The sequence below is a fragment of the Homo sapiens genome, chromosome 6 (genome assembly GCF_000001405.40).
Source record: "Homo sapiens chromosome 6, GRCh38.p14 Primary Assembly".
Classification (NCBI taxonomy): Eukaryota; Metazoa; Chordata; class Mammalia; order Primates; family Hominidae; genus Homo; species Homo sapiens.
The window spans coordinates 27,180,905-27,207,171 of record NC_000006.12 but is presented as its reverse complement, the minus strand read 5'-3'; the positions used below and the strand labels follow the sequence as shown (position 1 = coordinate 27,207,171).

Below are 26,267 nucleotides of genomic sequence, written 5' to 3'. Positions count from 1 at the left end.
GCTGATTCAGGTCAGACTTCTATCTACTAGACTTTTCTGCTTATATAGATCAAGTAAGATATTAATAAGTTGCATACTTATTTTAATTCTAGGGATGTTATATAGTATAGTCATCAATGTCAAAGATCTCTGAGTCAGACTATTCTGATTACTGCTTGTACTCATTATAGTAAACACACCTGTATTAGTAAACTTGAGCTGCCATAAGATACCACAGACTGAGTGGATTGAACAAAAATTACTTTTCTCACAGTTGTAGAGGCTACAAGTCCAAGATGACTTAAAATATTTTGCCTTAATATAATGTGTCCAGTACAATTGTGCTAGAAAGAGCATAAGATTCAAAAGTTAGATGAACTATAATCTTGTTTTGATTCTTGTCTTCAATGGCTATACCTTTGGGCAATAAGACAATAGAAAAAATATATCATCATGATCTTATAAGGAAGACATTACTAGACTCTGATTTCCTTGGGGGCAAAGACTGTATCTTTTTGCATTTGCTTTCTGTAGCAGAGTTGGTGGTGTTCTTTGCATGTTTCATCTGCTTCCCTATATTTCCCAGAAGCCATGACTACTTCTAGTTATTTGACTGCAAACAAAATGATGAGAGCAGCTATGGCAGAAAGTGCTGATGGCCTCCAATCATCTCCTGGTCTCAGGTCGCTCCTTCATGGTTTTCCCAAAAGTCACCAAGATATGACTATCGGGGCGGGTTTTGCAGATAAAGAAACGTGCATAGACAGCATAGGGAGGTCTTGAAATAAAATTCTGTAGCATTCCGTTCTAGCTTTCCATGTTTGAAATTTGTGCGGGAATTGGAGCCCTGGGGAAGCTTGGTTATGAATTGCTTTTCTTTTCGAAAACAGTAAAAGGAGAGAACTGCACCACAACGATCATTTTCTAAACAGACGTATAAGGCAGTCCAGGCCCTTCAGGCAAAGCCCTCTTAGTTAAGCGGCGGGGTGGGGATGGGGGCGGGGGGGATGTGGGTAACCCTTTCCCACAGTTGTTTCCGTAGTGGAGTGGTTATCACGTTCGCCTCACACGCGAAAGGTCCCCGGTTTGAAACCAGGCGGAAACATTCTTTACTCGTTTGGTAGATTTTCTACTCCATAAAAATATAAATGTTTAAGAAAAATCAAACTGATAAATTTGCCAGACTTTGAAAACAGGAGCTCTCCCTGAGAAGCTCTCGCAGCCACGTGGTTTCGCCACTGTAAAAGAGCTTTCCCCCTCTCCCTGTCACTTCTGCGGGGTTTCCTCTAGGTCTAAAAGGGGTCCTTGGAAGAGTGTAAGAGAAAGGAACCGGGCCACGGGCATGGTTGTTACTTACTTTCGGAATCTGGATTTCTTTGAAATGCAAGAACAGCTCCGCCTTTAAACCAAGTGGCGACTACCCGGGCGTCCGGCAGTGACATTAGCCGGGCAATTCATCTCTTGCTGGATAAATATTTTCAACCAAAATTTACTTACCACCTGCATGGTGAGAGGGGAATGTTGCAGTGGGTGGGAGAGTGCTGGAGGATAATGCAAAGCACCTGTCCTTAAGAACTGACAAGGACCTCGGGCAGGTAACAAGAATCCTGTTAAGTCTGTTTAGCCGGAATGCCCCTTATCCTTGATGCTGCCTCTTAGCCCAGGACGCAGGTGGCAGCGGGCTGCGATCTGAGGCTCTTCGGTTAAGGACACTTATTAAATCATGGTAAGAGAGACTTTATTCAGGACCACCATGGTAGGTAATAGGGTCCACAAAGGAGTCTTGCAGTAGAGAAGAGATTGGGCTCAACTCTGAATACTGCATGGACAAGTGGGAATTTATAGCCAAGGATCGGGGTGGTGGGTGGTCAGTGGATGGAAAATTACTAAGAGGAAGCATCAGGGGTAAGGGGATTCTGGCTGAACAGACCTAACAGGATTCTTGCTGAAGACAGGCCAGGGCCATCAGACCTTACCTGGGGGATGGTGGAGGATGAGGAACCTGATCAGCTATGGAGGGGGAGCAGATATCAAGGGTAGGGGATTGTTGTTAAACTGATTTATCAGGGTTCTTGCTAAAACTGGTTTTACAAGGAAGAACACAGATGGGCCCTGGAGACAGTTCAGGAGCCTGACTAAAGTTTGACCAAACAAATAATCTTTGTCAACCTCCACAGTTGTGTGAACCTATGCCTTAAAATAAATATCTTTCTGTATATACACACCTCCTATTGGTTCTGTTTCTCTGGAGAACCCTGATTAATACAACTGTTACTATTTTTTAAAAGTAGCTCTTCAAGAGATAGTAAAGATCACCCAATTCAATTTCAACAGCAGCATTCCAATCTAAGTGGTTTAAAAGAAGTTTCAGCCGGGTGCCTTGGCTCACGCCTGTAATCCCAGCACTTTGGGAGGCCCAGGTGGGTGGATTACCTGAGGCCAGGAGTTGGAGACCAGCCTGACCAACATGGTGAAACTCTGTCTCTACTAAAAATACAAAAAATCAGCCAAGCGTCATGGTGCGTGCCTGTAATCCTAGCTACTCAGGATGCTGAGGCAGGAGAATCGCATGAACCTGAGGGGCAGAGGTTGCAATGAGCCGAGATCACACCACTACACTCTTTAGCCTGGGTGACAGAGCAAGACGCTGTCTCAAAAAAAAAAAAAAAAGAAAAAGAGTTTCGATCCTGCAATTTTATGAGAAGAGGGTCCTATGAAGAAGACTATGACAAGTATCAGAGGAATAGAAAGAAAGTCAGGACAACTGATATTGCAGAAGCCAAAGGAGTAGTTCTGGAATAAACAATAGTAGAGGTAATTCAAGCAAGTGATCAGAAATGCAAACACTACATAGGAATTTGTGGCAAAAAGCTCTGGAAATATAGTTATGAATAAAACAGAGTTCCTGTTTTGGGGAGCTTTCTTGCAACCACCAAGTAAATAACTAAATAAGATAATTCAGATGATGGGGTTCAGAACATGCTACCCCGAGATATGACATCTTGACATTTGACAAAACCACAGAAGCAAGTAGGTCACTCTCACTTTTCCGTAGCCCTTCTCCCCTAAAGCAGGTCAGGAGATCTTCATTCCAGAGGTGCCCTTCCTATAACTGGAGGAAAGGAACATGTTTTTCTCTGAAGACACAGGGACACACAGAAGAACCTGAACAAGTAAGCCTTGCTAAATTCCCCCAGTTTATTATCCTTACATCACACCCTCTTTGTACAATTATACTTCTGCATAACTATCTTCTCTTCGTCAACCTATCATAAAACTACAAATGTTTCCCTGTTTCTTTAGGTCTTCATTTCTAGTCTCTCATATCACACAAAGCTTATGTTAAATACACTTGTATGCTTTTCTCTTGTTTAATCTGTATTTTGTTATAGAGGCCTCAGCCATGAACTTGGTGAGAAAAGATGTTTTTCTCCCTTGCTTAGGCCATAAGGATAATGTTTAAAAAACAGATAGCTTGCAGAGGATGAAGTTTAGCCGTCTTTCTTTCTGGCAGCTGTATACTAACTTTGCAGGATGAAGGAAGAGTGGGCTTCCTTTGCTAAATGACTCTGTGGGCTTATTAAAAATGTTTTAAGGCCGGGCACGGTGGCTTACGCCTGTAATCCCAGCAATTTGGGAGGCTGAGGTCAGGATCACCTGAGGTCAGGAGTTCAAGATCAGCCTGGCTGGCCAGCATGATGAAACCTCGTCTCTACTTAAAATACAAAAATTAGCTGGATGTGGTGGTAGATGCCTGTAATCCCAGCTACTCAGGAGGCTGAGGCAAAAGAATTGCTTGAACCTGGGAGGTGGAGGTTGCAGTGAGCTGAGATTATGACACTGCACTCCAGCCTAGGCAACAGAGTGAGACTCCATCCCAAAAAATTAAAATTAAAATTAAAATGTTGTAAGTACTTTGACCTTAAAATAAAAAGCTGTAAGTGTCTATGTGTTTCCACTAGTTTTGATCCTGCTAATTTCTGGATTGTATAAATGAATAAGTATAAGAGAAAAATCCCCACAGTCTTCTGACAAATAACTGTCTTCAGAAATAGCTCACAAAAGGAGTAATCAGCCTTAAGGACCAATAAAATAAGAAAGAAAAAACTGCTTAAGATGCCATCTTTTGTTTGATAAATGTTTTGCCTAAAAATTGGAAAACTGGGCAAATGTAAAATGTAAAATACATTTGAAAATATGTCCTCAAGGCTGGGCATGGTGGCTTACACCTATAATCCCAGCATGCTTTGGAAGTCGAGGCCGGCAGATCGTTTGAGCTCAGGAGTTTAACACCAGCCTGGGCCACATGGTGAAACCCTATCTCTACAAAAAATTAGCTGAGTGTGGTGGAGCACTCCTGTAGTGCCAGCTACTTGGGAGGCTGAGGAGGAAAGAGCACTTAAACCTGGGAGATGGAGGTTGCAGTGAGCCAAGATCACTCCACTGCACTCCAGCCTGGGTGACAGAATAAGACCCTATCTGGAAAAAAAAAAAAAAAAAAAAAAGGAAGAAAAGAAAAAAAGAAAAAGTCTTCATATTTAAAGAATTAGTGAAAATAGAATGAGACATCAGACTACCTTAAATCTCTCTTTTTGAAAGGTGTTGTCAGGAAGTGAATATTTTCATGTTCTGCATGGTTTGGCTTTCTGGGCAAGGGAAATTGACACATTAGTGAATGTTCTGGTTTCCCTAGACCAATTTGCTTCTCACATTTCAAAAGTGTTATCTCATTTGAAGGATAATACAATTTCTCTCTCCTGGAACCATGGAGACATTTTAAGGCTTATAAACACGGAGATGCTTATCTTATCTTCCACTCTGGAGACATTTATTTACATCCCAAGAGTATGAATCCTGAGACTTTTCCTCTCTCTTTTTATAAGAACTTGTTTAAGGCCAGGCTAGGTGGCTCGCGCCTGTAATGCCAGCACTCTGGGAGGGCGAGGCGGGCTGATAACCTGCGGTTAGGAGTTCGAGACCAGCCTGGCCAACATGGATAAACCCCGTCTCTGCTAAATATACAAAAATTAGCTGGGCATGGTGGCAGACACCTTTAATCCCAGCTCCTCGGGAGGCTGAGCAGGAGAATCGCTTGAACCCAGGAAATGGAGGTTGCAGCAAGCCGAGATCTTTCCATTGCACTCCAGCCTGGGCAACACGAGCGAAACTCTGTCTCAAAAAAATAAAAATAGGCCAGGCGCGGTGGGTCACGCCTGTAATCCGAGCACTTTGGGAGGCCGAGGCGGCCGGATCACGAGGTCAGGAGATGGAGACCATTCTGGCTAACATGGTGAAACCCCTTCTCTAATAAAAATACAAAAAAATTAGCCGGGCTTGGTGGTGGGCGCCTGTAGTCCCAGCTACTTGGGAGGCTGAGGTAGGAGAATGGCGTGAACCCAGGAGGCGGAGCTTGCAGCGAGCCAAGATCGCGCCACTGCACTCCAGCCTGAGTGACAGAGAGAGACTCCGTCTCAAAAAAATAAATAAATAAATAAAGGCTGACAAAGACAGCACAAAAAAGAAAACTGCAGACCAATACAACTCATCAACACAGATACAACAATTTTTAACACAATATTATCAAATAGAATACAGTAATAGAGAAAAAGAATTATACACTATGACTGTTATTGGCTGAATTGTGTTCTCCCAAAATGTATATTCTGAAGTCCTAACTCCCAGTTCCTTAGAATGTGACTATATGTGGAGATAAGATCTTTAAAGAAGTTATTAAAGTAAAATGAGGGAATATGGATGAGCTCTAATACAATATTACTGGTGTCTTTATAAGAAGAGATTAGGGGCCGGGCGCAGTGGCTCATGCCTGTAATCCTAGCGCTTTGGAAGGCCGAGGCGGGCAGACTACCTGAGGTCAGTAGTTCGAGACCAGCCTGGCCAAAATGGCGAAACTCTGTCTTTACTTTAAAAAAAAAATACAAGATTCAGCCAGGCCTGACAAAATTAGCACACGCCTGTAATCCCAGCTACTCGAGAGGCTGAGACAGGAGGTAGGAGGCTGAGCGGGAAGCAGAGGTTGCAGTGAGCCGAGATTGCACCACTGCACTCCAGCCTGGGCGACAGAGCGACACTCGGTCTCCAAAAAAAAAAAGAGATTAGGACACAGGCAACACGCAGACTGAGTGGTTAATCATGGGAGGACACAACGAGAAGGCAGCCTTCTGCAAGTCAAGGAGAGCTACCTCAAAAGGAATCAAACCGGCTGACACCTTGCTCTTGGATTTCTAGGCTCAGCTGCGAGAAAATACATTTCCATTGTTTAAGTCCACCCATCTATGGTAGCCCTAGCAAACCAAGATAATCACCAAGTAGAATGCAGGGGTGGTTCATGGCCAGGCGTTGTTGCTCACACTTGTAATCCCAGCACTTTCAGAGGTCTGGGAGGCCAAGGCAGGAGTATAACTTGAGGTCAGGAGTTCTATGACCAGCCTGGCCCACGCTGGGAAACCCTGTTTCTACTAAAAATGCAAAACATTAGCCGGGCATGGTGGCATGTGCCTGTAATTCCAGCTACTCTGGAGGCTGAGGTACGAGAATCACTTCAACCTGGGAAGCTGAGGTTGCAGTGAGCAAAGATCTCGCCTTTGAACTCCAGCCTGGATGACAGAGCAAGACTCCGTCTAAAAAAAAAAAAAAAAAAGAATGCTAGGGTTGTTCAACATTTGAAAATTAGTCAACGTAATTAATGTACCATAGTCACACCAAAGGAAGAAAATCACATTATTATATTAATTGATGAGGAGAAAAATTCAATACCAATTCTTAATTAAAAGAAAAATTCTCAAAAATATAGGAATACATGAACTTCCTCAATTTGATAAACAGCATCTTTATAAAAACTCTATAGCAAATGTGAAAGGAAAATATCTTGGGCTCCCAAAATCACTAAGCTAAAGGGAAAATGGGAACTGCTTAGGGAAAACCTGCCTCCCATTCTATTCAAAGCCACCCCTCTGCTCACTGAGATAAATGCATATCTGATTGCTTCCTTTGGAGAGGCTAATTAGAAACTCAAATAAATGCAACCATTTATCTCTCTTTTTTTTTTTTTTTTTTTTTTTTTTTTTTTTTTTTTGAGACGGAGTTTCACTCTTGTTGCCCAGGCTGGAGTGCAATGGCGCGATCTCGGCTCATCGCAACCTCTGCCTCCCAGGTTCAAGCGATTCTCCTACCTCAGCCTCCCGAGTAGCTGGGATTACAGGCATGCGCCATCACGCACGGTTAATTTTGTATTTTCAGTAGAGACGGGGTTTCTCCATGTTGGCCAGGCTGGTCTCGAACTCCCGACCTCAGGTAATCTGCCCGCCTCGGCCTCCCAAAGTGCTAGGATTGCAGGCGTGAGCCACTGCGCCTGGTCCATTTATCTCTTATCTACCTATGACCTGGAAGCCCTCTCCCCCCGCTTGGAGTTGTCCCACCTTTCCAGACCAAACCAATGTTCATCTTACATATGTTGATTGATGTCTCATGTCTCCCTAAAATGGATAAAACCAAACTGTACTCTGACTACCTTGGGCACATGTCATCAGGACTTCATGAGACTGTGACATGGGTGTGCGTCCTGAATGTTGGCAAAATAAATTTTCTAAATTAACTGAGACCTGTCTCAGATTTTTGGGGTTCACTCTAACATTGTACTTATTGTATCAATTGGACAAACATAGGAACAAAAATAAAGCTTGCTGGGCGTGGTGGCTCACGCCTGTAATCCTAACACTTTGGGAGGCTGAGGCAGGCGGATCACGTGAGGTCGGGAGTTCAAGACCAGCCTGACCAACATGGAGAAACCTCGTCTCTACTAAAAATACAAAAACTTAGCTGCGTGTGGTGTTGCACACCTGTAATCCCAGTTACTCAGGAGGCAGAAGCAGGAGAATCACTTGAACCCAGGAGGCGGAGGTTGTGGTGAGCCAATATCACGCCATTGCACTCCAGCCTGGGCAACAAGAGCGAAACTCCATCTCAAATAAATAAATAAATAATAAATAATAAATAAATAAGTATAAAATAAATCTGACTGAAATCTTTTTATACAAATAATACATAAAAATGCATCACATACTTAAATGTAAAATGTAAATACAAGAAAAATTTTACAAAAAAAAAAAAAAAAGGAGAAGAAACCATGGGAGAAAATCTTCAGGATCTAGAGCTAGGCAGAGTTCTTAGATTTGATACCAAGAACATGACCCATAAAAAGAAAAACTTACAAATGAGATTCCATCAAAATAAAAAACATTTTGCTCTGCTGGAGAGTCTAATAATAGTAAGAAAGGACATGCTACAGATAGGAGAAAATATTTGCAAACAACATATTCAGTAAAAGACTAGTATCTAGAATATACTGTATAAAGCACTTGTCAGAGCTCAACAGTAATAAAACATATGAACCAACTAGAGAATGGGGAAAACATATGATGAGACGTTTCTTTTTTCTTTTTCTTTTTTCTTTTTTTTTTTTTTTTTTGAGACGGAGTTTCACTCTTGTTGCCCAGGCTGGAGTGGAATGGTGTGATCTCGGCTCACTGCAACCTCTGCCTCCTGGGTTCAAGTGATTCTCCTGCCTCAGCCCCCCAAGTATCTGGGATTACAGGTGCACATCACCACGCCCAGCTAATTTTTGTATTTTCAGTAGAGAGGGGGTTTCAACATGCTGGTCAGGAACCCTTGACCTCAGGTGATCCACCCGCCTCAGCCTCCCAAAGTGCTGGTATTACAGGTGTGAGCCACTGTGCCCAGCCAAGACATTACTTTTCTTTTCTTTTTTCTTTTTTTTTTCCGAGACAGAGTCTCGCTCTGTCATCCAGGCTGGAGTGCAGTGGTGTGATCTTGGTTCACTGCAACCTCCACCTCCCAGGTTCAAGCAATTCTGTTACCTCAGCCTCCTGAGTAGCTGGGATTACAGGTGCATGCCACCACGCCCATTTAATTTTTTGAATTTTATTAGAGATGGGATTTCACCATGCTAGCCAGGATGGTCCTGATCTCCTGACCTCGTGATCTGCCCACCTCGGCCTCCCAAAGTGTTGGGATTACAGGCATAAGCCACTGCACCTGTCTTTTTTTTTTTTTTTTTTTTTTTTTTGACGGAGTGTCAATCTGTTGTCCAGGCTGGAGTGAAGTGGTGTGATCTCTGCTCACTGCAACCTCCACCTGCCTTCTGGGTTTGAGCGATTCTCCCACCTCAGCCTCTCCAGTAGCTGGAACTACAGGCGTGGCACATCACACCTGGCTAATTTTTGTATTTTTAGAAGAGAAGGGGTTTCACCATGTTGGTCAGGTTGGTCTTGAACTCCTGACCTGAAGTGATCTGTCCGTGGTGGCCTCCCAAAGTGCTGAGATTACAGTTGTGAGCCACAGCGCCCGGCCAAGAAGATCTTTCATAAGGTAAAATAAAGATACTCCCTAGGTGGAGAAGACCATCTGGATACTTAAGCAATTATTAAGAAGTCATGAGTGCTCTGGATTTTGAGGTCTGGAAGAGTGGAGGAGAGACCACGTGTGGTTTGGGGGCCATTATGACCACAGTAAAGAATAGACTGGATCAGCCGGGCGCGGTAGCTCACGCCTGTAATCCTACCACTGTGGGAGGCTGAGGCGGGCAGATTGCCTGAGTTCAGGAGTTCGAGAACAGCCTGGACAACACGGTGAAATGCCATCTCTACTAAAATACAAAGTATTAGGTAGGTGTGGCAGCATGCGCCTGTAGTCCCAGCTACTCCAGAGGCCAAGGCAGGAGAATTGCTTGAACCTGGGAGGCGGAGGTTGCAGTTAGCTGAGATCGTGCCACTGCACTCCACCCTGGGCGACAGAGCGAGACTCTCTCTCCAAAAAAAAAAAAAAAGACTAGACTGGATCATGTCACGTTCTCAGTAAACATCTGTGTAATCAATGGACACTATTAAAGGTAACTTTCTGAAATGTAAACAAATGCTTATGTGACATCCTGTCACTCTTCATGTGACCAGCAGATTCATCTAGAAGTCTAAGTAAAGCTTAGGAATGCACTTGTAGGTAGTTAGCCGTTTCACTTCTTGATGTTTTTGTGTCATCATGTTGACATTATTTGTGACTTTGCATAACTTAAATATAAGAACAATAATGGCTATCTCAATATCCATTGGATCAATGAGGTGTGATTTAAAGTTTACCTAAAACAACATGCAAAGCACCTGGCATGAAGTGGACCCTCAAACGGTTAGTTTTCTAAGTGAGAGTGGCTAGGCTGTTGCTATGTATCTTAAAGGAAATAGTTTCAAGACATGACAAAAGGCATTTTGGCACAGAAATCAGGAAATGTATTTAAAAATACACCCCACTGAATTCCATTTCTGGTTAAGTTGTAGAAAATTGCAAGAGTCTGTTTCTCTCTATTTAATAACTAAAGCAAGAGCATAAGCTACAAAATAGTAGATTTTCTGAACCCACCAGGGAATTGATACAAAGGAATCTAATCAAATTCCACCTAGAAAGAGGTCTTCATATGAGAAAAGAGGTTTCTAGCTGCCCTTGTTCCTGGCAGATGGGCAGACAAGCAGAGGAAGAGAAACCCTTGAATACTAAATGAGGGAAAAAGCCATCAAAACTCCAAAAGATTTTTAAGATTTGCCTGTGGGCCTACTTGACCCAAGCACAGAATTCCAAGTAGCCAAAAAACCACTGCCAGTTGTCTCTGCTAGAGGAGAGCATCCCAAAAGAAGGTGAATGGGCAGGCTGGAAAGTGGAGAGGAATATCCACTGAGGCATCCTCAGGTGCAAAGTCTTTTGAAGTTGGTGAGCACAGCCACAAAACTAAGAGAAATCAATCTAGCGCACTTTGTATTTCTGCTGCCAAGTACCAGGACTGGAGAGCTGAGAGAAGCCCCTCCAAAGCTTTCTAAGTGGAGAGAGATCTTTGTTGGGGACCAGCCTCAACACCACCCATAGGGTAGTTAAAGTCTTTGTGGCGACGAAGGAATGAGAAGAGACAGGTTTAAAGTGTATAAAGAGTGGGGGCCAGGGGGCCAATTGCAAAATGGAGGCTGCAAAAGGCACCAAGCTCCAGTCTCCACACTATTTATTGAGTACAATCACTTACATCTAAGAAGCAGACGTTTAGGGCGAAACGGTGAAAGGGAGGCAGTGTGTTATAGGCATAATCTATAGCAATAGCGGTTTAAATGAATCTCCTTTGTGCCCAAACATCGTATCTATAACTTATCGGAGTGTAGCTAGTGGGAGCGGGCTTAACTAGGAGCCTGCACGTCTGTCTACATTCCAATGCTTCAAAGGAGTGTCTTTCTTCTTGAACACAGTGTTTATAGATAAGAGAGCAGGTTGCACTCAGAGCATGGGAACATAATGGCGATAAGAAGGCTTTCCTCTTCAGAGGCCTCTTGTGGCTTTCCACAACTTATTGTCTCATATTTTTATGGCCAGCTTATGCAGGCACCCCACAAGCCTTTTTCCCAATATGCCCCACTTTTTTTAAAAACCACCATTGTTATTAAGGCTTGTTCGTGGTGTCTGGTCTCTCTCTAGAGGTGTCTTCTGTATTTGTAGACTAAAAGCAAACAGTATAAACAGATACACATTAAAGCAAAATTTGCAATAGTTGATCCTCTAATGGTCTTAATCCATTTAAGAGGGTTTATGTCTGAAAGTCCATCAGTAGCTTCAGTGAGAATGTCAGTCCCAGGCAGGAGAGTTAAATGAGCCTGAGATGCTTTAAAAACCTGGTCTTTTAATTTGGCCTTATCTAATGTGGGCAGAAAGCCACCCAGGTGCTGAGGCAAGAGACTGAAGGCACAACCTCTTCCAGTATAATAAAGAAAATAATTATGATAAGAAAAAGTTATTTTAGAAATAGAATACAGAGGTGATTATAATGGATATTATTAATCATTAGTTTTTAGTATTAATCTTTGTATTATTATTATTACCAAAGAAAAACCAGGCCGTACAGAGTTAGGAGCTGAAGGGACATTGTGAGAAGTGACCAGAAGACGAGAGTGTGAGCCCTCTGTCACGCCCAGATAAGGGCCGCTTGAGGGCTCCTTGGTCTAGCAGTAGTGCCAGTGCCTGGGAAGGCACCCGTTACTTAGCAGACCTTGGTCTAGCAGTAGTGTCAGTGCCTTGGAAGGCACCTGTTACTTAGCAGACTGGGAAAGGGAATCTCTCTTTCCTTGGGGGAGTTAGAGAACACTCTGCTCCACCAGCTCTTGTTGGAGGCCTGACATTAGCCAGGCCTGCCCACAGTCATCCGGAGGCTTAGCCGTCTCCCTGGGGTGCTGTGCTTCAAAGGTCACACTCCTTGTCCACTTTCATGTTCTGCCTGTACACCTGGCTCCTCCTTTTAAGTTCTTAGAAGATAGCAGTAGCAGAATTAGTGAAAGTATTAAAGTCTTTGATCAATCTCTGATAAGTGCATAGAAGAAATGCTGATGTATGCTGTCCTCCCTCTCTGCTTTGGCTACCACAAAGGGAAAGGCCCCCTGTCACATGGACACGTGACTTGCTTGACCTTATCAATCATTTGAGATGACTCACACTCCTTACCCTGCCCCCTTGTCTTGTATACAATAAATAGCAGTGCGTCCAGGCATTTGGGGCCACTAATGGACTCTGTGCATCAGTGGTAGTGGTCCCCTGGGCCTAGCTGTCTTTTCTTCTATCTCTTTGTCTCGTGTCTTTATTTTTCTACTATCTCTCATCTCTGCACACGAAGAGAAAACCCACAGGCCCTGTAGGACTGGACCCTACATCTGGCACCCAATGAGGATTTCTCTCTCGCTGTGTTCGGGGCCACTTCCACACTCTGCTCGTTGGGGGTAGTGGTCCCCTGGGCCCAGCTGTCTTTTATTCTATCTCTTTGTCTCGTGTCTTTATTTTTCTATGATCTCTCATCTCCGCACATGAAGAAAAAACCCACAGGCCCTGTAGGGCTGGACCCTACAATCTAATGTTAAACTTTTATTTCTTTTTTTCTAGATGACGTCTAACTTTTTTTAAATGATGTTTAGTAGTATTATACGAACAGGGAGTTATGTAGAAATTAGAAGTATTTTAATCACATTGTATTTGTAATCGATGCTCTAAGCTCATTATATGATCTTCCATCTAAATAACAGTCTGTCTAAGATCATTTATTTGATTTGTCAATTGTTGGTCTATCCAGGTCTGAGAATTCCACTATTTTGAGGAATTTTTTTGTCAATTATTTATATATTTTGTAGTTTGAACAGAGGAGTGTAAAGCAATTTCACCAGCCGCAGCAGTAGCTGTGGCTGCAATAAGGCCCATAATTACTGCTATAAGGGTAAAAATAAATCTTTTTGTTTTGGTAAACACTCCTCAACATTTTTGTGACAATATGAATGGAAGGAGAGGCTTCCTAACGTCTATTGAGGGAAACCGGTAACCAAACTTCTTCTATAGCCCTCATCAGCAACACAGATGGCTTCACACCAAATGTGGAATCAACACAGGTGAAAAGGTGACAGTTTTGAGAAATAATAGTTTGAGAAGTAGGTTGAATATTAATATTTTTGATCATCAACATAAAAGGAGGCTTGACACAACTCTGAATGGGCACTGTTCGGTTGGAAGAAAACTGATACACAAATTGAAGTCTCTTACCTTCTCTATCAAGTTAATATTTTTCTTTTTAAACCTGAATATGAGATTGGGCCATTATTAACTTTTATAATTTGGGATGTTTAGGGCCTATTACTGGATTAATCATTTTTGGATGTGGGCCAGCCATACTAAAATTGGTCCAAATTATGGGAAAATGAGCACGATTTTTAGTGTAAGTAGTGTCGTTTCTTTGACAGTATAGAATTTGTTTTAGTTTTGTTTTGCATCTATTATTTTGATTGGTACAATTAACTGTAAAGGTCCCCTTAGGGGACCAACTAACGACGATTGCATAGGAATTATTTTAAATAATTGCAATTCTTTTAAATTAATATTTCTAAATCTTTTGACCATTGTGGAGGTTGTTGACACCTCTTTTTTTTGGGCTTAAACTGTTTCAATTGAACCAAACTCTGTGAATGATCCAGGCTCTATCCAGACAATAAATGATAGGATACTGGTCTTTGATTATGACCTGGAATTTTAACTAGCCAATGTTGTCAGTAGCCTTTTAGGCAACTGATAGCCAGCCCTAGGCAAAGAGGGGGGAACTAATAACCTATGGACACATTTATTAACATTTTTTTCTCTTTTGTGTGAGAGGGCCTATGAGTATCTGTAGGCTTAGGTATCCAAACACTATCATTAACATAAACCTCAACCGGGGGTTCCAACCAAGTGACAGGCCTAATTAAAGATGGAAATGGGACATCTGCCCAATAGGTATAATTTCGGTCTGTTGTAGCCACAGGTTTTTCAGGTGAGGAGTTCACTGCTCTTATTTCAGCTTTGCATCCTAGCATTAGTAAATAACAGAAGACAAACCTGAGTATAATTAGCAACATTTTTTTCCGGTCAAAAAGTGACCTGTAGTGTTACTTGGCATCTTAGTTCACTATATGTTATTAATGAGGAACCCCACTCGGGGTATGTTAATTTATTTTAGCCAAGCAGTTATGTTATTAGAAGCTGAGAAGGGGGTGTTTTTTAAAGTAACAGGGCAGAAGAAAGGCAGATTTAAGATATGAGCTTAATAGAGTGTAGCAGGTATAGGTAGTAGGCAAAATGAGATAATTAAAAACGAATAAATTATTTGGCTTAGTCTTCTGTTTTTTCAGCGTAATGTCTGGGGCCTGTGTTGTTTGTGGAAGTCACATTGTTGAGGCTGCAATTTCTGTAGAGTCTTTTTTAGGCTTGCTTGAATTTTTTTTTCTTCTTTTCATCCTTTGATGAGGACATAGTCTTTAGGCTGATACTAGAAATTTTAGGGGTGGTGCCTGCGCTAAGAGACTTTTTACAATCTTTAAAGAGCAGGTTAGTGTTTTAAGAAAAACTCGTGGGCTGGGCGCAGTGGCTCACACCTGTAATCCCAGCACTTTGGGAGGCCGAGGCGGGCAGATCACGAGGTCAGGAGATCGAGACCATCCTGGCTAACACGGTGAAACCCGTCTCTACTAAAAATACAAAAAAATGTAGTTGGGCATGGTGGCGGGCGCCTGTAGTCCCAGCTACTCTGTCTCAAAAAACAATAAAAATAAAAAAACAGAAAAACTTGTGTTTTATTTTAATGTTTAGTTTATAGAAAAAGTGGATGATACCTTTTTAACTTTAGCAAATGTGTTTACACACATAATTTTTTACAATTATCATTTTAAAACTTGCTTAGACCTTTATTTTTATTTTTTAATTTTTTTTTTTGAGATGGAGTCTCACTCTGTCGCCCAGGCTGGAGTGCAGTGGCACGATCTCGGCTCACTGCAAGCTCCGCCTCCCGGGTTCATGCCATTCTCCTGCCTCAGCCTCCCTAGTAACTGGGACTGCAGGCGCCCGCCACCACGTCTGGCTAATTTTTTTTGTATTTTAATAGAGACGGGGTTTCACCGTGTTAGCCGGGATGGTCTCGATCTCATGACCTCGTGATCCGCCTGCCTCGGCCTCCCAAAGTGCTGGGATTACAGGCGTCAGCCACTGGCGCCCGGCCTGCTTAGACCTTTGAAACAAAAATTATACAACCTTTTTTGCATAAATTTTTTAATAACATTTTTCACGACTTTCACAGACAATTTTTAACATGTCTTAAATTTTTGTTTTATAACTTTTTTTTACTAAAGGTACATTTTTATAACTTTCTTAGTTTTTTTTGTTTGTTTTGAGATGGAGTCTCGCTCTGTCGCCCAGTCTGGAGTGCAGTGGCACGATCTCGGCTCACTGCAACCTCTGCCTCCTGGGTTCACGCCATTCTCCTGGCTCAGCCTCCCAAGTAGATGGGACTACAGGCGCCTGCCACCATGCCTGGCTAATTTTTTGTATTTTTGGTAGAGACGGGGGTTTCACCATGTTAGCCAGGATGATCTCGATCTTCTGACCTCATGATCTGCCCGCCTTGGGCTCCCAAAGTGCTGGTATTACAGGCATGAGCCGCCGCGCCCAGCCGATTTTTTTTCCCTTTTTCCACTTTTTTTTTTTTTTTTTGAGATGGAGTCTTGCTGTGTCGTCCAGGCTGGAGCGCAGTGGCGCGATCTTGGCTCACTGCAAGCTCTGCCTCCCGGGTTCACGCCATTCCCCTGCCTCAGCCTCCTGAGTAGCTGGGACTACAGGCGCCCGCCACCGCGCCCGGCTAATTTTTTGTACTTTTAGTAGAGACGGGGTTTCACCGTGGTCTCGATCTCCTGACCTCGTGATCCACCCACCTCGGCCTCCCAAAGTGCTGGGATTACAGGCGTGAGCCACCGCTCCCGGCCTCTACTTCGTTTTTTTCACAGTCTTTTTTTTTTTTTTTTGCATCTTGTTTTGATTTTTGTCTCTTTTAGTCTTTTTTCTTTACTTTTTTCTTTTATTTTTTTAATGTGTAATAATTAGATGAATGTTGGTAACAATGGATATATGTACATATCTTAGTTTCCAAAATTTAGGGATGTGTTTAACATCTGTTTGCCACAATGGATTAGGTTCTAATCCTCTAGGGTTAACACCTGTTGAAGGAGGGGACGTGCTTGTGAGCTGGTAATCTGGGCATTGTAGGATAATTTGCTTAGCCAGCCTCTGTGTAAGTTGAAATTATTTAGATAAGTTTTTCAATTTTGGTGGGAAAATTGATGTGATTGGGTGACTTGGTCAAGCAGTGATGTCATAACCTGAAGGTCTGCTTGATTATTGCCGTAAGCCAATGGGCCAGGCAGAGAGCTGTGAGCTCGAATGTGTGTAATAAAAATAGGATGTGTATCTTGGTTTAGCAATTGCTGAAGTTGAAGAAAAAGAACACACAGACTGGGCTCCAGAGCGAACTTAAGGCTGTAAAAGTTCTTTAATAATTAAACAGAATAACCTTAGCTTTTTGAATGTTAGTAAATTCAGATCGAGTGATTGGATTATGTGGTCTCCACCAGACTGTCGCTTTTTTTAATGTTTACTAGACCCACCAGTAAAAACAGTCACAGCTCCTTCCAAAGGAGCATCACAAGGAATTTTTGGAAGAACCCATGTAGTTAATTTTAAAAACTGGAAAATTTTATTTTTAGGATAATGATTATCAATACATTCAACAAATTCTGTTAAATTAACTTGCCATGTAACTGAGTTAATAAATGCCTGTTTTACCTGATTTTTATTTATTGGAATTATAATCTTATTGGGCTCAGTGCCACAAAGTTTAACAATTCGTGACGAGCCTGTCCAATTAGAATTGCCATCTGATCTAAATATACTGTGAGTGTTTTTATGGTATTATGTGGCAAAAAAAGACCATTTAACTAAATCATTATTTTGAACAGTAACCCCCATTGGGGAATGTGAAGTAGGGAACACAATGAATTGTAAAGGCGAGTCTGAGTCAATCTTACTGACCTGGGCTTGTTGAATTTTTGTCTTCAATTACTTTTAACTCTTTTATGGCCTCGGTGTTAGTTCTCTGTTACTTTGTAAGTTGGAATTTCCCCTCAATATTGAGAAGAGATTAGACATAGCATAAGTAGGAATTCCTAAGGTGGGCCGAATCCAATTAATATCTCCTAACAATTTTTGAAAATCATTTAAGGTTTTTAAATAATCTTTTTAAATTTGAACCTTTTGAGGCTTAATGGCTGTATCCTGTACTTGCATCCCCAAATACTGAAAAGGAGTGGTTGTTTGAATTTTGTCAGGTGCTATACGCAATTCAGCGTTTGTAATTGCCTTTTGTAAAGATGAATAACATTGAATAGGTTGATCTCTATTTTTTGCTGCACACATCTGGAAATTGATCTCTAACAGGCTGGATAGTTCTGCCTACAAAAGTTTGACAGATTGTGGGACTGTTTAACATACCCCGGAGTAAAACCTTCTAATGATATCTGGCTGCAGGTTCTTTGTTTTTAATGGCAGGGACAGTAAAGGCAAATTTTTCGAAATCTGCCTCTGCTAAAAGAATTGTAAAACAAGGCAGTCTTTTAAATCTATAATAATGAGCAGCCAGTCTTTAAGGAGCATAGTGGGGGATGGGAGCCCAGGTTGTAAGGCTCCCATCGGTTGAATTACAGCGTTGGCCACTCGCAAGTCGGTCAGCATGTGCCATCTACCGGACTTTTTCTTAATTACAACTATTGGGGAATTCTAAGGAGAGAAAGTGGGTGAAATATATCCTTTTTCTAGTAGTTCTTTAACTATTTCATAAAGCGCCCCCAATTTTTCCTTAGGCCACTGTTCGACCCAGACAGGGCGCTGGGTCATCCATTTTAAGGGAAATTGCTCCTTCACTGTAATGAACTGCAGGGCGAACCTGAATTACCCCCTCTCCATAATGAACTGCGGGTCGGGCAATAATGAGCGCGGCCAGCCGAGTCTCGGCAGCGGAGTCTCAGGCTCCCTCCGCCTGCACTCACTCGGCTGAGGAGGAGGTGGCCATTCCGGACATTCCTCTTGAGGAACCCTGAGCTGAATGAGTTTCTGAATAGGTTTAGGAAGACTGGGGGGATTGGCATAAATTACTTCCGGACTCTCCTTTTGGCTAGTACTCGGTAGAGGCGTTTCAGAGTCCTGATTATCAAACTCCTCCTTCTCCTCCTCTGACTCAGCCTCATCATTTGTCTGAAATGGCTCCAGTGCGGCACGCACCAATGACCAAACTGACCAAACAGGCAAACGAATTTCCTTTCCTTCTCTACGTGCTTTTTAAAGGTCCTTTCCAACTCTTTCCCAATCTCTTAATTTCAAAGTTCCCTGTTCAGGGAACCAAGGGCAAAATTGTTCTACAGCATGAAATTAATTCATACGATTTTTTGTACCAACTTTTACGCCATCACGCTTCAACAGCCGCCCTAGCAAGCTCAAATACGTGGTGTACTTACTTTCAGTTTTCCCCATTGTGTCCCTGGCTTTCTCCAAGTGCCCTGCTTACCTGCAGAGCTTAAAAACTTTTTCGTCCTCGGGAGTCCTTCGTCCATCAGCCCTCCGTTTCACACGCTCGAGCATTCCTTCATCAGATTCTTTCGAGCCCCACGTTGGGCACCAGAATGTTGGGGACCAGCCTCAATACCACCCTTAGGGTACCTAAAGTCCGGTGGCGACAAAGGAATGAGAAGAGACAGGTTAAGAGTGTATAAAGAGTGGGGGCCAGGGGGCCAATTGCAAAATGGAGGCTGCAAAAGGCGCCCAGCTCTGGTCTCCACACTATTTATTGAGTACAATCACTTAGATCCAAAAAGCAGACATTTAGGGCGAAATGGTGAAAGGGAGGCAGCGTGTTACAGGCGTAATCTATAGCAATAGCGGTTTAAATGAATCTCCTTTGTGCCCAAACAGCGTATCTTTAACTTATTGGAGAGTAGCTAGTGGGAGCGGGCTTAACTAGGAGCCTGCACGTCTGTCTACATTCCAACGCTTCAAAGGAGTGTCTTTCTTCTTGAACACAGTGTTTATAGATAAGAGAGCAGGTTGCACTCAGAGCATGGGAACATAATGGCGATAAGAAGGCTTTCCTCTTCAGAGGCCTCTTGTGGCTTTCCACAACTTACTCTCCCATATTTTTATTGCCAGTTTATGGCCCCATAAGCCTTTTTCCCAATGTATCTTCAAGAGAATGTCCAGCAACCCAAACAGCTGACACCCTGTTGGGTCAGCAGAGCTCAATCTCTCAGGGTTTGGAAAGCTGCAGGAGGGGCAGTAAAGCACAAAGAGAAGAGAAGGTACCACCGAGAAGTACTGTAGTAAAAAAATAATTTTGGTTTTACCATTCATCTTCCATCAAATTTCTACTAGTCAACAAAGCAAATAAAGACAACTACTATTTCACATGGTAGATGCAGAAACAGAGTTAATGAAGTGTGCTAAAGATAAGAAACATGATCTTGTGTCTATCTTTTTTTGTTTGTTTGTTTGAGATGGAGTCCCGCTCTGTTGCCCAGGCTGGAGTGCAGTGGCGCAATCTCAGCTCACTGCAACCTCGGCTTCCCGAGTTCACACCATTCTCCTCCGTCAGCCTCCCGAGAAGCTGGGACTATAGGTGCGTGCCACCACGCTTGGCTAATTTTGTTTGTATTTTATAGAGACAGGGTTTCACCACGTTGGCCAGGATGGTCTTGATCTCCTGACCTCGTGATCTCCCCGCCGCGGCCTCCCAAAGTACTGGGATTACAGGCGTGAGCCACCGCGCCAGCCAATCTTGTGCCTATCTTTAAATTAAAAACAAAATTTACAAATTACAAAACAAAAATAAGTAAATAGTTGACCTGGCTCATCGAAAGATATGGCTCTCCTTTCTCAAAAACAAAACAAAAAAAGGGAAAAAATGTCCTTCAAGTATGAGATACATACCTGTATATAGACAGAGAGAGAGAGAGTAAATGAGTCAATAACTTCGGATGAATCAAAGGAGTAGAAAAGTATAAAAGAAATGGGAGAATTGTAGGGTCCACAAGACAGCAGGCACGGGGTGACTCCGGGGCTCTGCTGGCTCCTCTATGGGTTTACCACTGCCCACGGGTGGATCAGGCCCTGGCCTGAAAGGAACCCTCGCAAGGGCAGATATTTACCGCCTCCTCCCTATCGTTGGAAACAAGTGCTCATTGTAGCCCAAAGAAACTCACGCTTAGACAGAAAATTCCTCAGCAAGACACCTTTACTTCTGCAGAAGAGTGCTGCTTGCACCTGTTACAATCGCAAGAGCACAACGAACAAAAGCGGGAAGGAGTTTTTAATACTAACGCAGTTCCTGTTTCTATGTTCTTCCCCTGTTGGCTGGGGTTGGACTGCACAATCTAAGCTGATCCTGACTGGCTAAAACTTAAACTTTTCCAAATAGGGTAAACCCACCATTTGTGAAAAGAAGAGGTGGGGCGGGGGGGAGCGGGGGGTAGGATTGATTTACAACTTTTACAACTTATGACCAGAAAGTTGAGTCTTTGAAGAGCAACTTAGTTGTCCCAACCATTTCCCCTCTTCTGTTTTATAGTTCTTCCTCTTCAAATTTCTTCAACAGGATTTGTTTTTTTTTTTTTTGTTCTTCTTGATTATCTAAGAGCAAGAGCTTATCTGAATACAGAGGGGGAAAGGTGAGGGAGGTTTTTGTAAGAGCTGCTTCTATGAGCCTTTGGGTTAACCCACGAATACAAGGTATGATACAGCAGCTCACAAGGATGAGTACATCTGTAACAATCGCAAGGAAGGTAAAGACTGAGGTCATGAGTCCTTTCCATTTTCCAAACCACCTTTCCATCAGGCCCATAAAGGGGTCGTCTATTCCAGAGTTTTCCGCTAATTCACTTGCTAGGGTGGTAAGGCCTTGCAAGGCTTTTGTGATTGTCCCGTCAGGGGCTGTATTATTAGGAATAAAAAAGTACAACACTGGACCCCGATCATGACACAAAGTCTGCCCTTTTCAGCTAACATCATGTCAAGGGCTATTCTAGTTTCCCAGGCCATCTGGCTCGTTGGGTCTAACTGTTCAGCTATTCCTTTTATGGCATCTCTGGTATAATTGACAAATTGCTCCTGATTGTAGTATATATAATTTATCCAGTCTACATTTTTGTTAATAGTGGACCACCAGAATAAGATAGGCTCGAACCCGGTGGCTATTTGGTTTCAAGCTTTGAATTCATTTGGTACCCCCTGCGGGACCCCGATACTGTCTATGTAATGTGCAGGTCAAAGGACCCGTGAAAGGCTTCTCTTTTTCTTCAGGTTACTTGCTTCCTGTCTGGTTGATGAAATGCCAAGGTGAAAGGGATGGCTAATTGGATCAGAGCGCAAGTGCTGCTCCAGTTGCTTGGCAGTGTACCCAATGTTGGTCCCCCACAATACTGCTCAGGGATAGACTAGGTCCCACACATCTGCTTGGGGATAGACTAGGGCTGACTGAGTGGTTAGCTCTTAAAAAAGTTTAGGCCCACTACATCCCGTCAGGTTTCCAAGGTATGTCAAATGTTTCCCTTGCTGTGAGAGACACAAGGTAAAATTGGCATCGAGAGCTGGAGATTAAATGTCCCTTGGGGGCAGTTCCATAGGGCTCTTTACCTTTGGGAAAAGTAGTGAAAGAGTGGTGCATGACTTGTTTCCCCAGGCTGTGGGATGCTGGAAGAGGCCTACCATAAAATCCATGCCAAGTTGGTTGGCCCATCCATGTGGGAAAGGAACAATTTGGGTTTGTTGGCCTGCCCATTGCACAAGCGTAACCATTGCTTTTATTTAGAGTGCGAACAGAATATTTAATCCGTTCCAGCCAGGCATTTATATCTTGATACCTGGTTTCTATGGTTAGGGTTTGCTTCAAGTCCTTGACATCTACTATAGCTACTTGGTTTTGTCATTCGGCATGAAGCGAGAAATGGTTTAATTGTGTGGGAGGGGGTAATGGTACAAGATGGAGAAGGAGGAACCAAGCACATTTCAAAGAAGCCTATAGGGTCCTTTCCAGTGATATCTGCTCCTAGGCCATAAAAGCGCTCTAAAGTGGGTGCAGGGTTAGTGGAGGTAGGGGTATTAATAGAGATAAGTACTGGGTTGCAATGGTGAGATTGGCAATTAGAGGGGGTGGTTCCTTTGGTGAAGTGGAGGTAGGGTTTTAGGGCGGTGCAACCCTCTGAGGAGGTCCAGCCCTGATACTTGGTAGTCCATATAACATCTCCCCAAGTATAGCAAAACCACTAATGCCAGATTCATGCCCGTTCAGTGCAAGAGTCAGTTTTGTAGGCAGTACAGTCTATCTTAGAGGGACAAAGTTACTTTTCTGAAGAGGCTAGCTGTCTTTCACTTTGGACATCCCTGCAGGGCATGACAAGACAGGCATCAAATGTAATTGTTTTGGGGGAGGGTGACTGGGTTATACTGATGATAAGATATCCTTGGGTAGCTAAAGAAAGAAGAAAAAGACAGATTAAACCCTTTTGAATGTTAGTTTGGGGGCTGTCGACAGTCCATGACTTTGCAAGGGATGGGGCCTTTTTCACTCAAGTGTGGTGGGTCCATCCTTTTTCGGCCATTCAGATTGCTGTTTCGGTGGTTAGGAGTACTAGATAAGGTCCCTCCCATGTTGGTTCGAGCTTTCCCTCTTTCCAACTTTTGATGAGGCTGGTGTTGGTTAACTGGGAATTCGAGGGCAATGTAAGACAATGGGAAGGCATTTTGTCCATGGTAACCAGGTTTCAAAGATTAATTTGGTTAGGAGATTTTTTTAGAGTTTGATTCATTCTTTCTACCCTCCCTGATGAGGGCGGGTGCCAGGGAGTATGATATTCCCATTTTATTCCTAGTACTTGGGTTAGCCCCTTAATGATGTGTGCAATGAAGTGGGTCCCATTTTCCAGATGAACGTTCTCTGTTAGTCCAAACCTGCATATGATATGTTCCAAAAGGGCTTTGACTGCATTACTAGCTGTTGTGCTTGGGAAGGGGATGGCCTCTCTCCAGTGGGTGAGATGGTCTACTATTACTACTAAATACTTAAGACGGCCTATTGGGGGCGTTTCAGTGTAGTCAACTTGGATGCTTTGGAACGGCCTCAACCCTGGGTTTCTTCCCCCGGGAGGTTGCCTCTTTAGGGTTTGCTTATTAGTTTTTCTGCACCATCCGCCACTTGCCTAGTGAAGGTATATATCCCTACACACCCATAGACTCTAAGGACTGCATCGCACATAGCTTGAGGACCCCAGTGAGTTCCTTGGTGAAGCTGTGACAATATTTCCCTCATGAGGGGTTTAGACAGCATTTCCCTTCCATCTGTCCACACCCACTTCCCCTCTGGGCTTTCCTTAGCTCCTATTTTCTTGAGTTTCTCTTGGTCTGTGTGGGAGAAGATGGAGATCACAGCTGGAGGGGGAAGACAAGGGGTTAGATGGAAAATGGGTGCCTCTTGGGAATAGGCAGCTTGCTAGCTTGCTTAGCTACTTAATCTGTGAGGTTATTTCCCGGCTTTCAAAAGATGGGTTATTTTGGTGTCCTGGGACATGGACAACTGCAATCTCTTCCGGCAGCTGAAGATTTTCTAGCACTTGCATAATTAATTCCTTGTGGGCCAAATCTTGGCCCTTACTATTGATGAGGCCTCGTTCAGTCCAGATCTTTTCCGAAGGCATACTTGGAGTAAGTGTAAATAGTTCCTTCCTGATTCTGCAGGGATTTTAAGGCTTGGTTTAATGCAAAGAGTTCACATATTTGGGCAGACCACTTATTTGGCAGTCTTTCTGACTCTACCACTGTGAGGGTTTCCCTATCAACTATGGAGTACCCGTTGTGCCTTTTTCCTTCAATGACCTGGGAGGAGCCGTCTATAAAGAGGTGATGCCCTGTTTGGAAGGGGGTTTCATGCCTGGATGCGGTCTGACTCTAGTTTGAAAACTGATTAGATCTAAGCAGTTATGCTCACATTCCTCCTGGTTTGGATTTCCTGTTAGGAAAGCAGCGGGGTTGAGTGAATTGTCAGTGGTTAGTGTTAGGTTATCTCCCTCTAATAAGATAGCTTCATATTTTAAAATCCTTGAGTCAGTGAGCCATCTCCCTGCCTTCTGATTAAGAATGGTTCTGACTTGATGAGGGGCACTTACGAAGAGGTTTCCCCCAAAGGTTATTTTCCTGCTTTCTTCTGTTAGCAAGGCAGTTGCTGCTATGGATTGAACACATTCGGGCCATCCACGGGTTACTGGGTCAAGGATTTTTGACAGAAAGACTACAGGCTGCCGGTGGCCTCCATGTTTTTGGGTGAGTACCCCTAAGGCCACTCCTTTGCTTACATTAATGAAAAGATGGAATGGCTGTTCTAAGGAGGGCAAAGTTAGAACAGGGGCAGTTACAAGTAGGTGTTTTAATTCTTTTACCGTTGGATCTCTGATGGGGTCCAAAGGAGGGGGTCTGGTCCTTCTTGAGTGAGTTTTTGATATAGGGGCTTTGTTTTTAAGGCATAAGAGTCAGTCCACAGATGACAATATCCAACCAATCCTAATAATTTCCTAAGTTCCTGCTTTGTTTCAGGTAAAGGCAAAGACAGGATACCTTCAATTCGTTCGGATCCTATCTTTCGTTCACCTTTACTGATTAGGTGTCCTAGATATTTTACCTCAGATTCTATGAATTGGATGTTGTTCTTTGAGACCCGTAATCCTTGTCCCCTTAGGAAATTTAGGAAGTTAACTGAAATTGCTGTTACTTGATCCTTGTTATCTCCTGAAATGAGCAGGACATCTACGTATTTGAGTAGGCATATGGATGAAGGCAGGGAGAAGTTTTCTAGGACTTGCTCTAAAATATGACCAAATAGATTTGGGGACTCTGTAAACCTTGGGGCAAGACTGTCCATCGACCGGAGTGAGGGTCCTCTCACTCAAAGGCAAATTTGTCCCAGCTGTCCTCTGCTAAAGGGCAAGCCCAAAAGGCATCATTTAAATCTGTCACCGTGAACCATTGGTGGTTATGCGGGATTCTACTGAAAATGGTGTAAGGATTGGGAACAACAGGGTGGATGGTCTGAACTATTTGGTAAATAGCCCAGAGGTCTTGCACTAGCTGGTATGACCCGTCTGACTTCCTTACAGGCAATATTGGAGTGTTATAAGGGGACATACAGGGTTCAAGTCTTTCAATTACAGGTTTTAAAACTATCCTGGTTTTAAACCTATCCTGGCTTCCAAGGGAATAGGGTATTGTTTTCGTGGACAAGGCTTTCAATTATAGGTTATAAACCTATCCTGGCTTCCAAGGGAATAGGGTATTGTTTTTGTTTCACTATTTCCCCAGGAGTTTTTAATTTGACATGGATTGGAGGAACCCATCCTCGATTCCCTTCTTTCGACCATACGTTGGGATGGATGCGGCTTTCTTCTGAAGTGGTGAGTACGTTTAAGGAAGTAAGGAGTTTTCCTTGATTAACATATAGGCCTGTGCCTAACCTTAACATTAAGTCCCTTCCTAATAAATTAGTTCCTGCTTCAGGAATTAAGAAGAACTTAGTAGCAACCGACTTATTCTTATATTTGACTTCGGTTTCCTCTAGAATTTTTGCTCTGAATCCTTCCCCTTTAACTCCTGAGACAGTAAGGTCTTCGGCTGAACAGGATAAATCTGATGGGAGAAAACATAGGCAGGAGCCAGCTGCTCCCGAATTGACCAGGAAAGTGACTATTTCCAATTTGGGTCCCACCGTTAAATTTATCAAGGGCTCTTGGTGGGACTCAAGATGGAAGACGTAGAGC

At 43.1% G+C, this 26,267-nt stretch overlaps 1 non-coding gene across 1 annotated transcript, besides 2 other annotated features; it reads left to right on the top strand.

Annotated features, from left to right (window-relative positions):
- The first annotated feature begins 1,011 nt into the window (after positions 1–1,011).
- TRV-CAC6-1 (tRNA-Val (anticodon CAC) 6-1) lies at positions 1,012–1,084 on the top strand. Its single transcript has one exon. It is a non-coding gene; the product is annotated as a tRNA-Val (tRNA).
- Positions 17,944–18,830: a transcriptional cis regulatory region, noted in NCBI's record as "candidate enhancer chr6.1221 targeted for multiplex CRISPR interference". NCBI's record gives its function as "positively regulates H4C8 gene expression with high confidence in K562 cells {active_cell/tissue: K562}" and the evidence as "EXISTENCE:mutant phenotype evidence [ECO:0000015][PMID:30612741]".
- Positions 18,170–18,735: an enhancer, noted in NCBI's record as "H3K27ac hESC enhancer chr6:27156216-27156781 (GRCh37/hg19 assembly coordinates)". NCBI's record gives its function as "activates a minimal SCP1, AML or CMV promoter by ChIP-STARR-seq in primed H9 embryonic stem cells {active_cell/tissue: H9 hESC(primed)}" and the evidence as "EXISTENCE:reporter gene assay evidence [ECO:0000049][PMID:30033119]".